The following is a 14,964-nucleotide window of genomic DNA, read 5'->3' as shown; positions in this document are numbered from 1 at the left end:
TGGATGGAAAGATGGATGGGAGGATAGATAGAAGATGGATAGAAAGGTGGATGGGTGGAAAGATGGAAAGATGAAGCGTGGATGGATGGGAGAATAGACAAAGGATATAAGGGGGAATGAATGGGAGGATGAATGGGAGGATGGAAGGGTGGATGGATGGAAAGATGAATAGGAGGATGGATGGGAGAATAAATAAAGAATAGGTGGGAGAATGGATAAAGGATACATGGGATAATAAATGGGAGGATGGATGGGAAGATGGATGAAAAGATGGATGGGATGATGAATGAAGGATGGATGGGTGAACGCATGAAAAGATGGATGGGAGGACGGGTGAAGAATTGATGGAAAGATAGATGGATGGAAGGATGGAGGATGCATGAGAAGATGGAAGGAGGATGAATGAAGGATAGACGAGAGAATGGGAGGATGGAAGGGAGGATGGACAGAGGAATAAATAGGAGGATGGATGGAAAGATGAATGAGAAGATGGATAAGAGGATGTATGGGAGAATGAAGAATGAATGGGAGGATGGCTGGAAAGATGGATGAGAGGATGAATGAAGGATAAGTGGGAGGATGGATGGGAGGAAGGATTGGGAATGATTGGGAGGATGAATACAGAATGTATGGAAATATGGTTGGGAGGATGGATGGAGGATGGATGGAAAGATGGATGGGAGGATGAAATGGGAAGGTCGATGGAGGATAGATGGGAAAATAGATGGGAGGATTCATGGGGTATGAGTGGAAGATGGATGGAGGTTGGATGAGGAATGAATGGAGGATGACCGAGGGGATGAATGGAAAGATGGATGGAGGATGAGTGGGGGGATGAATAGGAGAATGGATGGAGGATGGATGGGTAGATGGATGATGGATGGGTAGTTGGATGATGGACAGGGGGACGGTTGAAGGATGGATGGAAAGATGGAAAGATGGATGGGAGGATGAATGGGAGGATGGAAGGGAGCATGAATGAAGGATGGATGATAGGATGAATGGAGGATGGATTGGGAGGATGAATGGTAGGATAGATGAAGTATGGATGGGAGAATGGGTGGGTGGATGGGCAGGAGGAGTGGATGAGAGGCTGTTTCACAGTTATGCCCATGTGCTATGGCAACAGACCAGACTAGGACTCAAATCCCAGCTATTCCATACGATACTAGTGTCATCTTGCATAAGTTTTGTAACCCCTCTGATCCTCAGTTTTCTTGGGCGGGAGGACAGACAGGAGGATATGCAGATGGATTAAAATGAGTACTCTTAATACATACAGAAAACTTAGGACACGTCCTGACACACAGTCGGTGCTTAATAAATGTGCACTCGATGATTGCATCCCATGTTCTAAACTCAGCCTTGGGGACGTGTGTGAGGAGTGAGATGCTGGGGCTGCCCTCGGGGACTCAGCATCTGCTGAGCAATGTGATCAGTCCTGATTCAGGGCCCCTTGGGATGGTCAGGGAAAGGGCCCCATGGGTGACCCAAGTCAGAAGGGAGGAGGGGGGAAATGATCATGAATCTGTATTGGCTGGGCCCAGGGTCAAGGCAGTCAGGGGGCCGGGAAGAGGGGCATCAGCGCTGGGGGTCTGGAGGCCAGGGGAAAACCAGGGGAGGGTGGGAACCAACGTGACAGGGATCAAAGGGAGAAGAAGGAAATGGGTCACTTGGATTTGGCCCCCCAGCAGCAGTTGGGGATTTCTGTTGGGGATTTCTGTAAGAGCCGTTTAGTGGCATTGGGGCTGGGAGGCCATTGGCTGAGGACATGCAGTGAGGGCCGGGCAAGGGGGCAGAGAGTGGCTCATGCCATGGCAGCTGCTTTCAAACACCAGAGGGGCCACTCTGACAGTTCTCTTCCTTGCTCAGGTAGAACCAGGGCCTGCCCCCTACCCCATGTGCAGGCCTGCCCTGGGTGAGAAAGTTCCTTCGGTTCATGATGTGTGCAATCACAAACTGCGGGCTCTGGTTTGATTAGACAGTCTGAGCCCCATTCGGGTGGACAAGAACACAGAGGCCTCTCCTCCTCAGGAGGGAGCCAGCCATGTGGACAGCCTTTCCCAGCAGGCCTGGAGAACCACCAGCCAGCGGCAGGCCTCTCCCTGCGGTGGCCCACACTCTCAGGATGTGAGATTGAAGTATCAAGGATCTGAAGCAGGGGCTGTGTGTCAAGGGAACTGCCAGTCTGTCATTTGATTGTGGCCAACAGCCCCCAGGTGATCCTGCCCCAAAGTCCTTTGATGCTATAGCCAGGGCAGGGCCCTTCTTTAACTCCTCCTGTCTGCTTCTGAGGCCCCAGAGAGGGTGGCAGGCTCCCTGAGGTTCATCTGAACCTCCTCTGTGAGGCAGAGCTGCCTGGGGTCCCCCTTGCCCACCTGGCATCCTGGAGTGATAGCTCTGGCTGGCTCGCCCATGGCTTCCGTCCCCTACATTACAACTTGCCATATTTTGTGGCCTGAGGGCTGAGAATTCCAACAGGCAAGAGCAGGGATGGGACTGCCCACCCCATTCCAGTCGTGTCTCTTATTATCCACACCCTGGAAAACTTAATTAAATAGATGCTTAGTGTATAATTTCAACTTATTTGGAAGTCGGGGGGAAATCAAACTGAAGGGGGCCAGCCCCTCCACACCTGTGGGTATTTCTCATCAGGTGGAATGAGAGACTGAGAAAATAAGGCACAGAGACAAAGTATAGAGAAAGAACAGTGGGCCCAGGGAACCGGCGCTCAGCATATGGAGGACCCACACTGGCCCCGGTCTGCCCAGTCTGAGTTCCCTCAGTCTGAGTTCCCTCAGTATTTATTACTATTTTCACTATCTCCGCAAGGCGAATGCCACAGGAGAATAGGGTGAGTGGTGAGAAAGTCAACAGGAAAACGTGAGCAAAGGAATCTGTGTCACAAATAAGTTCAAAGGAAGGTGCTGTGCCCAGATGTGCACATAGGCCAGATTTATGCTTCTCTCCACCCAAACATCTCAGTGTAGCAAAGAGTAATAGAGCAGCATTGCTGCCAGCATATCCCGCCTCCAGCCACAGGGTGGTTGGTGGGAACATTCTGTTCCCAGGGACATGCAGGAGATGGAGGCATTCCTTTTACTAATCCTCCTCAGCAAAGGAAACCTTGGACAATACCCAGGTATCGGGGGAACCCGCCTCCAATATTTCAACATAGGTTCTTTCTATTTTCCCTAAGTGTCAGCTGGTCTGAGAAATAAGAGTATAAAGAAAGGAATTTTACAGCTGGGCCACCGGGGGTGACATCACGTATTGGTAGGTCCATGATGCCCCCCTGAGCCACAAAACCAGCAAGTTTTTATTAGGGATTTTAAAAGGGGAGGGGTGTATGAACAGGGAGTAGGTCACAAAGATCACATGCTTCAAAGGGCAGAAGGCAGAGCAAAGATGACATGCTTCTGAAGAAACAGGACCAGAGCAAAATCAGAAACTCCTGATAAGGGTCTATGTTCAGCGGTGCATGTATTGTCTTGATAAACATCTTAACAGAAAACAGGGTTCAGAGCAAAGAACCGGCCTGACCTCAAATTTACCAGGACTGGGGTTTCCCAATCCTAGTAAGCCTGAGGGTACTGCAGGAGACCAGGGCGTATCTCAGTCCTTATCTCAACCACATAGGACAGACACTCCCAGAGCGGCCGTTTATAGACCTCCCCCCAGGAATGCAATTCTTTCCCTAGGGTCTTAGTATTATATTCCTTGCTAGGAAAAGAATTTAGCAATATCTCTCCTACTTGCACGTCCATTTATAGGCTCTCTGCAAGAAGAAAAATATGGCTTTTTGCCCGACCCCTCAGGCAGTCAGACCTTATGGTTGTCTTCCTTTGTTCCCTAAAATCACTGTTATTCTGTTCATTTTCAAGGTGCACTGATTTCATATTGTTCAAACACATGTGAACATGTTTTACAATCAATTTGTACAATAGTGGTCCTGAGGTGACGTATATCCTCAGCTTACAAAGATAACAGGATTAAGAGATTAAAGTAAGACAGGTGTAAGAAATTATAAAAGTATTAATTTTGGAAACTGATAAATGTCCAAGAAATCTTCACAATTTATGTTTCCTGATGCAGCACCAGCTGGTCCCTCCATTCGGGGTCCCTGACTTCCCACAACAGCCAGGCTTTCTTGGGCAGAGGTTCCTGTGGCTTTCCACAGTGCATTGAGCCCCTGGTTAATCGAGAATGGAGAATGGCGATGACTTTTACCAAACATACTGCCTGCAAACATATTGTTAACAAGGTACATCCTGCACAGCCCTAGATCCCTTAAACCTTACAGCACATGTTTCCGTGAGCACAGGGTTGGGGCTAAAGTTACAGATTAACAGCATCTCAAGGCAAAACAATTTTTCTTAGTACAGATCAAAATGGAGTTTCTTATGTCTTCCTTTTCTACATAGACACAGTGAAAGTCTGATCTCTCTTTTCCTTACATATCCCCCCCTTTTCTTTTTGACAAAACCACCATCGTCACTATGGCCCATTCTTGCTGGTTGCTGTCTCTTTGGAGCTGCTGGATACACCTGTAGACTAACAACAGACAGAACAGGCATACAAGGATTAATATGAAATTTACAATAGTGAAACTTCTGATGCTTTTAACCCAAGTGACTGGCTTAAGATTTGTGAGGCTATCAGCAGCTTTCACGATTGTCTCCGTTCCTGGCACCAAATTTAAATGGGCTTTTGATGCCTCAAAAATTTTTTCTTGGCTGGGCACGGTGGCTCACGACTGTAATCCCAGCACTTTGGGAGGCCAAGGTGGGCAGATCACAAGGTCAGGAGATCGAGACCATCCTGGCTAACACGGTGAAACTCCATCTCTATTAAAAACCCAAAAAAAATTAGCCAGGCATGGTGGTGGGCTCCTGTAGTCCCAACTACTTGGGAGGCTGAGGCAGGAGAATGGTGTAAACCCAGGAGGCGGAACTTGCAGTGAGCTGAGATCACGCCACTGCACTCCAGCCTGGGCGACAGAGCGAGACTCTGTCTCAAAGAAAAAAAAAATTCTTTTAATTTTGAAATGTCTAAAGTAAGATTATCTTCTCCTCCTTGCAGATGGCATCTAACCATGTCCCAGTGATGCTCAGACTCATTATAGGCTTGTGGTGTAACACAAAAATCTGATGTATTCCAGTCACATCGTAACTGAAAAAGATATTCCAAGCTCATGAGCCTCTCCCATCCAAATGACAGTTTGTCTAAGATCATTAATTTGGTTTGCCAATTTTTGATCTATTTGGATCTGAGAATTCCACAATTTTGAGGAATTCTTTTGCCAATCATTTACGTATTCTGCAGTTTGAACAGAGGAGTGTAAAGCAATTCCAGCAGCCGCAGCAGTAGCTGTGACTGCAATGAGGCCCATAATCACTGCCATCAAAGTAAAAATGAATCTTTTGGATCTAGTTAGAATTCCTTTTAATACTTCCGTTAAAATATGGATGGATAGCGAAGCCTCCCATGGTCGGTCCATGGACACAAGGATCCACACACCCTCTCTTGCTCTTCCTAGTAGAATACGGTGCTGCCAATTAAAAGTCAAATCAATGCAAGTAAACATTCCACAATTTTCACAGATTATGGTTTGGGAATCAGGTTTAATAACTATGTTTTTCCTACAACTAGCAATATAAGGGAGTTTTACACAATTTTGCAAAGGAATTGTCAGACTGGAATTTAGGTTGATAGTATAATATGACTTACGATCTCTTGTTCCTATAGCTTGATTTCCAGAACAAATTCTAATGTGGTGTGAGGCCACAGTAAGCTTCCTAATTCTGGATGTTCAGGACCAGTAACAGGACTAACTTTGGTCAAGGTGATGAAATTCCCTTTTCACCCCATTTCCTTGGACAGAGTGATTCTAACCTTCTATAAACCTGGTCCAGCCTTTCAGTTACATCACCGTCATAGGCTGGATTAATGGGCCAGATGGATGGGGCCTGTGAACATGAATGAGTCTGGCCTGTACAGTTATGATATAATTGGCCTCAAGGGACCCAGTCTATCATAGTTCAAAATTCATTGTTTTGTACTACACTGCAGTATCAGCCACACATTCTCCGCAGACTAAGACTTCTGGGCTTTTTGATTCTTTGGGAATTTCCTTGGGGCAAGCCTTCCCCTTAGGCCTACATTGTAATGATCTTTGATAAGAAGGGTCCTGTAAATTATTTATCTGTGACATTCCACTTACCATGTGATAAGTAAATCTACTGGTAGCACTGACTGTAGGTACTTCTACCAACCAATTTTGGGTTGTAGGCATTAAGCATCCTGGTGCCTTCCCTAGGCAAACAGGAGGATAAGGATACCCAATGGAAATATTCATCATCATTCCTTCTTCAGGTTGGGCAGGGCAACAGTCATCTGTGGGGCCAGGCACCCATGCACTATTATTAACATCTACTTCAATAGGATTATCCATCTATGTAACTGCCCGAATTAAGGGTGGGAAAGGCACATAGGCCCAGTAAGTATAATTAGCTGCAGCTGCTCCTGCAGACTTGGGAAGACTTACCACCGTTGATACAATCATCAGAGCTGCAAGCAGCATATTCTCTGGAGTTGGTGTCACCTTTGTATTCTCTAGGCTTTTTTTTTTAGCTAACTGTGTCAGCTTCTTTAATTGTGCCTATATTGGCAACTCTGCTTCCTTGATGGAAGGCAACTTTTTCTGTTCTTCTGATATCACCATTTTGTTTACCTGGCGAGTCGATTGGGGTGTCTCCATCTCCACACTTTTCTTTGCATCTCCAGTGAGTTCATTGTAGAACTTTAAATGTCTAGTGGGTATCCAAACAGGAAGCTGATTTTCTCCTGGTGAAACACAAGCAAAACCTCTCCCCCACGTTATCACCTTCCCCATTTCCCATGTTTTATTTTTATTATCTTTCCACCAAATCAGTTTTCCTTCATGTGGGCTGTTCCTTTTACCAGTAAGATGTTGTTCTGCAGAGGTAGTGGTCTGATTTCTATAAATGTTTAAAACATTTAAAGTATAGAGTGCTAGATTAAGTTGCATCTGGGGAGTGTTATACTCCTGTCTTTTCCTTTTTTTTGTTTAACCAATTGAGCTTTGAGTGTTCTATTAGTTCTTTCAATTATGGCCTGTCCTTGGGAATTATAGAGAATTCCTATTGTATGTGTAATTTTCCACTGATTTAAGAATTTTTGAACTGCTTTACTACAGTAACCTGGCCCATTGTCTGTTTTAACTTTTTCTGGAACTCCCATGACAGGAAAACAAGATAATAAATGTCTTTTAACATGGGAAGTACTTTCTCCTGTCTGGCAGGTTGCCCATATGAAATGTGAATAAGTATCAACTGTCACATGGACAAATGACAATTTTCCAAATGAAGGTACGTGCATGACATCCATTTGCCATAACACATTAGGACATAGACCTCTGGGATTAACTCTTGCCTCCTGAGTGGCCAGGTGTAGAATCTGACACTGGGTGCAATGTTGTACAATATTTTTTGTCTGTTTCCATGTGATATCAAATTTATTTTTTAATCCTATTGCATTTACATGAGTCAAGGCATGAAGTTCTTGTGCTTCCATGAATGCAGATGATACTAGCAAGTCAGCTTGTTCATTTGCTTTAGTTAAAGGCCCTGGTAAATTAGTGTGTGCTCGAATATGAGTAATATAAAATGGGAAATTTCTTTTTCTTACATTTTGTTGTAACAAATTAAACAGCGGGTTTAACTGATCATCCATAATGTATTTGATTAGGGCTCTCTCAATATCCTTTGTAGCCTGTACTACATATGCAGAATCTGATACAATGTTAATAGACTGATTAAAATCTTGTTAACACTGTAATGACGGCAACCAACTCTGCTCTTTGAGTCAAGTGATACTGAGTTTTGATGACTCATTCTTTTGGCCCGGTGTAAGCCACTTTTCCATTGCTGGAACCATCAGTAAACACTGCCAGAGCATTTTTTAAAGGCTTATGTTTGGTAACTTTAGGTAAAATCCAAGTAGTCAATTTTAAAAACTGGAAGATTTTTGTTTTGGGGTAACGATTGTCAATAATTCCCACAAAATCGGCAAGACCAATCTGCCATGCACCAGAATTGATAAAGGCTTGTCTAACCTGTTGCTTGTTGAAAGGAACAGTGATTTTATCTGGGTCATTTCCACACAATGTTATTATTCATAATCTTCCCTGACCAATTAATGTAGCCATTTGATCCAAGTACAATGTAAAAGTCTTAATTGTACTGTGAGGAAGGAAGGACCACTCCACAAGATCTGTATTTTGAACAATGATGCCTGTTAGGGAATGTGCAGTAGCAAAAATCAAAATTTGGAGTGGGGCCAAGTGATCTATTCTATTTACTTGTGCTGACCGAATTTTTTCTTCAATTAATTTAATTTCTTTAGTTGCCTCTGGAGTTAACGTTCTTTCACTATTTAATTCCGAGTCCCCTCTTAAGAAAGAGAACAAATTTGACATGGCATAAGTAGGAATGCCTAGAGTTGGCCAAATCCAATTAATATCTCCAAATCCAATTAGTATCTCCTAGCAACTTTTGAAACTCATTTAATGCTTTTAATGTGTCTTTTCTTATTTCTATTTTTTGTGGTTTAATTTTCCTTTCCTCTACCTGCATTCCCAAGTAACGGAAAGGAGTAGAGGTTTGAATCTTATCAGATGTTATTGTCAGTCCCGCGTTGGCAACCTCTGTCTGCAGAAATGTGTAACGGTCAATTAATTTGTCTCTCGTTTCTGCAGCACACAAAATATCAACATAGTGAACGATGTAACAGTCTGAAAACTTGTCTCTAACTGGTTGCAGAGCTTGAGCTGACAAATAGTTGAACTATTAAGCATTCCCTGAGGCAATACTTTCCACTGAAACCTGGTGGCTGGTTCTTTATTATTTAGGCTGGTGTGGTAAAAGCAAATTTTTCAAAATCCTGTTTTGCCAGAGGAATGGTAAAAAAGCAATCCTTCAGATCAATTATAATTAAAGGGGACCATGGCTGGAGAGGGCAACCGGGGTGGGAGAGCCCCCATGGGTTGAATTACGGCATTATACGCCATCTGCCGGATTTTTTCTGAATTACAAACAGAATTCCAAGGCGAAAATGAAGGCTCAATGTCCTTTTTCTAATTGTTTCTTTGCTAATAAATGTAAAGCCTCCAGTTTTTGTTTTGGAAGCGCTGCTGATTTACCATACAGTTGTTTTTTTTTCCCCCAAGTTAATGGAATGGGTTTTGGAGGCTCTACAGTGACCGCTCCTAAAAAGGATGCCCTATTCCTTTTCTTTTTTGATTTTTTTCAGCCTCAATTGGGACTTCTTTCCTAGTCCCTTTTTAGGGAGCTATCCCATTTTAGTCATGATTTTTTTATTCCTGGGGCTGTATAGGGAGGCTGGGATAGTAATCTCTGCATGCCATTGTTGTAACAAGTCTCGGCCCCATAAATTGATTGGAATGAAGTGATCACAGGCTGAACCGTACTTTCTTGATTATCAGATCCTGGACAATGTAAAATCATGGCACTTTGATACACTTCTGAGGCAGTACCTATGCCGATGACAGAAACATCAGCCTGGGTATCCACTAATCCTTCAAACTCTTTCCCTGAATAGTGACTGTACACACGGGTCTATCCTCTGAGACCTGATTAGCCCAATAAGCAGCTTTTCCTGCAGGGTTGGTACTTCCAAACCCTCCTGTTCTTTCCTTTTTGTTTTCCCCAATTTTAACATAAGGCAAAAGCAGTAATTGAGCAATTCTATCACCTGGATTGGCACTCCGGGGAACAGTGGAGCTGATCACTAACTGAATTCCCCCTTTATAATCTGAATAAATTACCCCAGTATGAATTTGGACTCCCTTCAAATTTAGACTTGATCTCCCTCAAAGGCCTACCCTCCCTTCTGGCAGCGGGCCATATACCCCTCTAGGAATCTTTTGTGGGGGCTTTCCAGGGAGTAAAAAGACCATTTGGGTGGAACATAAATCTACTGCGGTGCTGCCTGCTGTGGCGCGGGACAGCTGTTGGATTGTTGTAATTGGCTGACTCCCTGAAGTGGTGGTATTTTCTGTAGGGGTTGTTGTCCTTGAAAACCCTGAGGAACAAACAGTTTAACTGGGAATGCCCCAGTTTGTTGGGGGGCCTGAGGCTGGCCCCTCTTCCTGTTTCCAGACAATGGTTGCCCATCTTTATCAAATTTAGAATGACATTGATTGGCCCAATGTTTTGCTTTTCCACATTTTGGACACAGGCCAGATGGCTTTTTATTTTTTGCTGTTAATAGCTTGATTTATTATATTCTGTTTATTTAAGCCTGGGCAACTCCTTTTCAGATGACCGATTTGACCACAATTATAACATTTTTTCCCAAATGTTCTAACTTGTCCTCCTAGAGTGAGCCCCCTCATTGCTTGAGCCATTAGCATTGCCTTATGCATAGCTCCTCCAATCCCATCACAAGCCTTCACATATTCTGTAATTACATCAACTCCTGCTGGAACTTTTCCTTTTAATGGCTTTATGGCCGACTGACATTCTGGATTTGCATTTTCATAGGCCATTAATTCTACAATAACTTTTCGGGCATTGTCATCTGTAATAGACTTTTGAGCAGCATCTTGTAATCTTGCCACAAAGTCAGGATATGGCTCTTTAGAGCCTTGTCTAATTGAATTAATAGGGAAAGCTGTTCCTGGGTCCTGAATTTTTCCCCAGGCCCTGAGGCAAATAGCCCTTACTTGTTCAATAGCCTCATTCTGCATCACTGATTGTTGGTTAATGGTGCTCCAATTTGGACCTGTTCCTAACAATTGGTCTGCGTCTATATTAACAGTGGGCTTAGTAGCCTGATTTTTTCGTACCTGTTCTTGTACTCCATCAATCCACCAGGTTTTAAACTGTAGATACTGAGAGGATGAAAGGGAAGATTTGGCCAAAATTTCCCAGTCATAAGGAGTAAGTCTATTTCCATGAGCAATGGAATCTAATAATGTTCTTATATAAGGGGAGTTGGATCCATATTGTTTAACTCCTTCCTTTATATCTTTTAACATTTTCATGGTGAAAGGTTCACATCTAGTCTCAGCTCGGGCAGGCGCTCCTACTTGAGTCTCTTCCCCGGCCTGTACCAGTTGTAAAATTACCAGGAACCGCCATGCCTCAAGATCGCCCTGTTTTCTGGCTTCATCAATGACTGCATGCAGTGCACCACCCTGTCCACTACGTGATGCTGTAGGATTAAGTCTCACAGTGGGCGGCTGAGGATACAGCGCCGCGTCCTGTGTTGCTGGTGAATTAGACGCCATCGCTGTGGGTTGCTGGTATGGTGCCGTGCTATTTGGCACAGGACACACCGCTTGAGGTCTGTATTGAACCTCTGAAGGAGGCCGATACTGAAGCTCGGTTGGCAGCCGGTATTGATAAACTACCAGCGGTTGGGTCTTATTTTCTACCGGCTGATATTGTGGATACTGTATCTGAGTTGGCATTGCCGGGATAGAGACTCTGTCCCTTTCTACTTGATTTTCTCTTGGGGTTTGTGCTTGTCTAACCTGCGTTTGAGGTTGTAATGTTACAGGCATCTGAACCACGGGAGGAGGAGTTGATGGCGATCGTGGTTTAGGCTCTGATGGCCCCAATGATTCTGGACCTCCTTCCCCCAATTTTGATGATTCAGGGTATATTATCTCCTGTAATTGACTGTAGTCAACATTTTGCGTTGACTGAGCCATTACAGACTCTGCTACATATTTACAATGTGAACTTTCCGTTCCTTGCTGGGATTCTGTCCCTGCCTCTTCTTCACAATCTGTTACACAGCTTTTAGGGGCATCAGAAACTGAAACAATATCTTCTCCTGTTTGAAATGGTTCTAAAGTTGCTTTAATAATGGCCCAATCATTCCATACTGTAAGTGGGATGATTTTACCTTCCCTATTTGCTTGTTTTAATTCTTTGCCAATTTTTTCCCAATCTTTTAGATCTAAAGTTCCCTGTTCTGGAAACCATGGGCAGAATTGTTCTATTGTTTGAAATAGCGTAATTAGATTTTCTGTAGAAGCTCTAACTCCCCCTCTTCTTAAAAGAATTTTAATAAAGCTGAGATAAGAGGCATATTTACTTTCAGTTTGCCCCATCGTTACCCTGGGTTCCTCTAAGCACACAAGCTTACCGCAAGGCTGACCGTGGACGTACTTGGGACTCTCTCGTCAACTTGTCCTCAATGACCACACTGTAGAGTACCTTCACCCTAGAGAAAGGCACCCACATTGGGCATCAGATGAAGGGGGCCAGCCCCTCCACACCTGTGGGTATTTCTCGTCAGGAGGGATGAGAGACTGAGGAAAGAAATAAGACACAGAGACAAAGTATAGAGAAAGAACAATGGGCCCAGGGGACCAGCGCTCAGCGTACGGAGGATGTGCACCGGCCATGGTCTCTGAGTTCCCTTGGTATCTACAGATTACTATTTTCACTATCTCAGCAAGGGGAATGCGGTGGGAGAACAGGGCGATAGTGGGGAGAAGGTCAGCAGGAAAACATGTGAACAAAGGAATCTGTGTCACAAGTTCAAGGGGAGGTTCTGTGCCCAGATGTGCACATAGGCCAGATTTATGCTTCTCTCCACCCAAACATCTCAGTGTAGCAAAGAGTAACAGAGCAGCATTGCCGCTAGCATATCTCACCTCCAGCCACAGGGTGGTTTTCTTCTCTCAGAATAGAAGGAATGTACTATCGGGTTTTACACCAAGACATTCCATTCCCAAGGACATGCAGGAGACGGAGGCCTTCCTCTTATCTCAACTGCAAGAGGCCTTCCCCTTTTACTAATCCTCCTCAGCACAGACCCTTTACGGGTGTCGGGCTGGGGGACGGTCAGGTCTTTCCCTTCCCACGAGGCCGTATCTCAGGCTGTCTCAGTGGGGGGAAGCCTTGGACAATACCCAGGCTTTCTCGGGCAGAGGTCCCTGTGGCTTTCCGCAGTGCATCGTGCCCCTGATTAATGGAGAATGGAGAATGGCGATGACTTTTACCAAGCATACTGCCTGTAAACACATTGTTAACAAGGCACATCCTGTACAGCCCTTGATCCCTTAAACCTTGATTCCATACAGCACATGTTTCTTTGAGCACAGGGTTGGGGCTACAGTTACAGGTTAACAGCAGGTCAAGGCAAAATAATTTTTCTTAGTACAGCTCAAAATGGAGTTTATGTCTTCCTTTTCTACATAGACACAGTAACAGTGTGATCTCTCTTTCTTTTCCCTACACAAACAGCCGCGTGGCCCAGCCAGGTCCATCCCCTTGGCAAAGTCCCGCTGGGTCCCGGGTGCTGGGGTCCTGCCCTGTTCGGCTGTGGTGAAAACGCCTCCTTCTCTCTGGGTCCCCAGAGAAAACCCCTGCTCTCTCCACTCTGCAGCCTCAATTACAAAGACGAACACACATACGCCCCACAGATGTGCACACACACACACATACACACACAGCAGGAGCTGCGGGAGGAAGCCAGGCAGCCAGCGGGGACCCGGGAGGGTGGAAACACCACAAGAACCAGGGGCTGGTTTTCTTTTATTGTATTAAATAGTTAGGCAGACAGTAGGAGAAATACACAAGGAAAGGCCAGGTGCCCCGAACCCAAGTCCAGCGCCTAAAATCCTGCCATTCATTTCCAAGTCTCTCGTGGGCCCTCTCCCTCCTTCTCTCTGCTCCTCTTTGGGGCACACCTGTGCTCTATGGTCTGCATGGAGGGGACCCTACCCTGAAGGGGTGGCCTGCCCCTCCACACCTCTGGGTGTTTCTCATCAGGTGGAATGAGAGACTTTACTTTTAGTTTGCCCCATTAACCCTGGCTTCTTCCGAGCGCCCAAGCTTACCACAAGGCTCACTGTAGACGTACTCGGGAATCTCTCGTTGACTTGTCCTCAATGACCACACTCGAGAGTCCCTTCACCCTAGAGAAAAGCATCCACGTTGGGCACCAGATGGAGTGGCCTGCGCCTCCACAGCTGTGGGCATTTCTCCTCAGGTGGAACGAGAGACTTGAGAAAAGAAAGACAACAGAGACAAAGTATAGAGAAAGAAAAGTGGGCCCAGGGGACCGGCGCTCAGCATATGGAGGACCCGCGCCGCACCGGTCTCTGAGTTCCCTCAGTATTTATTGATCATTATCTCTACCATCTCGGAGAGGGGGATGTGGCAGGACAATAGGGTAATAGTGGGGAGAGGGCCAGCAGGAAAACATGTGAACAAATGTCTCTGCATCATAAACAAGGTAAAGAAAAAAGTGCTGTGCTTTTGATGTGCATATACATAAACATCTCAATGCCTTAAAGAGCAGTATTGCCGCCAGCATGTCCCACCTCCAGCCCTAAGGCAGTTTTCTCCTATCTCAGTAGATGGCATATACAATCAGGCTTTACACCAAGACATTCCATTGCCCAGGGATGAGCAGGAGACAGATGCCTTCCTCTTATCTCAACTGCAAAGAGGCCTTCCTTCCTCTTTTACTAATCCTCAGCACAGACCCTTTACGGGTGTCGGGCCAGGGGACAGTCAGGTCTTTCCCTTCCCAAGAGGCCATATTTCAGACTGTCACATGGGGAGAAACCTTGGACAACACCTGGCTTTCCTAGGCAGAGGTCCCTGCGGCCTTCCGCAGTGTTTGTGTCCCTGCTTACTTGAGATTAGGGAGTGGTGATGACTCTTAACAAGCTTGCTGCCTTCAAGCATTTGTTTAACAAAGCACATCCTGCACAGCCCTGAATCCATTAAACCTTGAGTCAACACAGCACCTGTTTCTGTGAGCACAGGGTTGGGGCTAGGGTTACAGATTAACAGCATCTCAAAGCAGAAGAATTTTTCTTAGTACAGAACAAAATGGAGTCTCTTATGTCTATTTCTTTCTACATAGACACAGTAACAGTCTGATCTCTCT

At 45.1% G+C, this 14,964-nt stretch overlaps 1 protein-coding gene and 1 long non-coding RNA gene across 2 annotated transcripts, besides 8 other annotated features; both read right to left on the bottom strand.

The window, feature by feature from the left end:
• Nucleotides 1,528-2,028: an enhancer, noted in NCBI's record as "H3K4me1 hESC enhancer chr22:23891199-23891699 (GRCh37/hg19 assembly coordinates)". NCBI's record gives its function as "activates a minimal SCP1, AML or CMV promoter by ChIP-STARR-seq in primed H9 embryonic stem cells {active_cell/tissue: H9 hESC(primed)}" and the evidence as "EXISTENCE:reporter gene assay evidence [ECO:0000049][PMID:30033119]".
• On the bottom strand, nt 3,235-14,159 carry LOC124900476 (endogenous retrovirus group K member 5 Gag polyprotein-like). Its single transcript, XM_047441690.1, has 2 exons — nt 13,904-14,159; nt 3,235-12,279 (listed from the first exon to the last, which is right to left on the bottom strand). Exon 2 carries the CDS (start codon nt 12,164-12,166, stop codon nt 10,295-10,297), a length of 1,872 nt encoding a protein of 623 aa, XP_047297646.1. The 5' UTR covers nt 12,167-12,279; nt 13,904-14,159; the 3' UTR covers nt 3,235-10,294.
• Nucleotides 3,734-12,938, bottom strand: PCAT14 (prostate cancer associated transcript 14). Its single transcript, NR_109832.1, has 4 exons — nt 12,716-12,938; nt 12,202-12,279; nt 6,734-6,812; nt 3,734-4,554 (listed from the first exon to the last, which is right to left on the bottom strand). It is a non-coding gene; the product is annotated as a prostate cancer associated transcript 14 (long non-coding RNA).
• Nucleotides 11,124-11,418: an enhancer, noted in NCBI's record as "tiled region #2236; HepG2 Activating DNase matched - State 5:Enh, and K562 Activating DNase unmatched - State 12:CtcfO". NCBI's record gives its function as "activates a minimal TATA promoter and a strong SV40 promoter by Sharpr-MPRA in HepG2 and K562 cells {active_cell/tissue: HepG2 | K562}" and the evidence as "EXISTENCE:reporter gene assay evidence [ECO:0000049][PMID:27701403]".
• Nucleotides 11,124-11,438: a biological region, named in NCBI's record as "Sharpr-MPRA regulatory regions 962 and 2236".
• Nucleotides 11,144-11,438: an enhancer, noted in NCBI's record as "tiled region #962; HepG2 Activating DNase unmatched - State 5:Enh, and K562 Activating DNase unmatched - State 12:CtcfO". NCBI's record gives its function as "weakly activates a minimal TATA promoter and a strong SV40 promoter by Sharpr-MPRA in HepG2 and K562 cells {active_cell/tissue: HepG2 | K562}" and the evidence as "EXISTENCE:reporter gene assay evidence [ECO:0000049][PMID:27701403]".
• Nucleotides 12,126-12,740: an enhancer, noted in NCBI's record as "H3K27ac hESC enhancer chr22:23880487-23881101 (GRCh37/hg19 assembly coordinates)". NCBI's record gives its function as "activates a minimal SCP1, AML or CMV promoter by ChIP-STARR-seq in naive H9 embryonic stem cells {active_cell/tissue: H9 hESC(naive)}" and the evidence as "EXISTENCE:reporter gene assay evidence [ECO:0000049][PMID:30033119]".
• Nucleotides 12,126-12,918: a biological region, named in NCBI's record as "Sharpr-MPRA regulatory region 4313".
• Nucleotides 12,624-12,918: a silencer, noted in NCBI's record as "tiled region #4313; HepG2 Repressive non-DNase unmatched - State 5:Enh". NCBI's record gives its function as "represses a minimal TATA promoter and a strong SV40 promoter by Sharpr-MPRA in HepG2 cells {active_cell/tissue: HepG2}" and the evidence as "EXISTENCE:reporter gene assay evidence [ECO:0000049][PMID:27701403]".
• Nucleotides 13,973-14,589: an enhancer, noted in NCBI's record as "OCT4-NANOG-H3K27ac hESC enhancer chr22:23878638-23879254 (GRCh37/hg19 assembly coordinates)". NCBI's record gives its function as "activates a minimal SCP1, AML or CMV promoter by ChIP-STARR-seq in naive H9 embryonic stem cells {active_cell/tissue: H9 hESC(naive)}" and the evidence as "EXISTENCE:reporter gene assay evidence [ECO:0000049][PMID:30033119]".

The sequence above is a fragment of the Homo sapiens genome, chromosome 22, assembly GCF_000001405.40.
Source record: "Homo sapiens chromosome 22, GRCh38.p14 Primary Assembly".
In the NCBI taxonomy this organism is placed as follows: Eukaryota; Metazoa; Chordata; class Mammalia; order Primates; family Hominidae; genus Homo; species Homo sapiens.
This window is presented reverse-complemented; position numbering and strand designations above follow the sequence as displayed.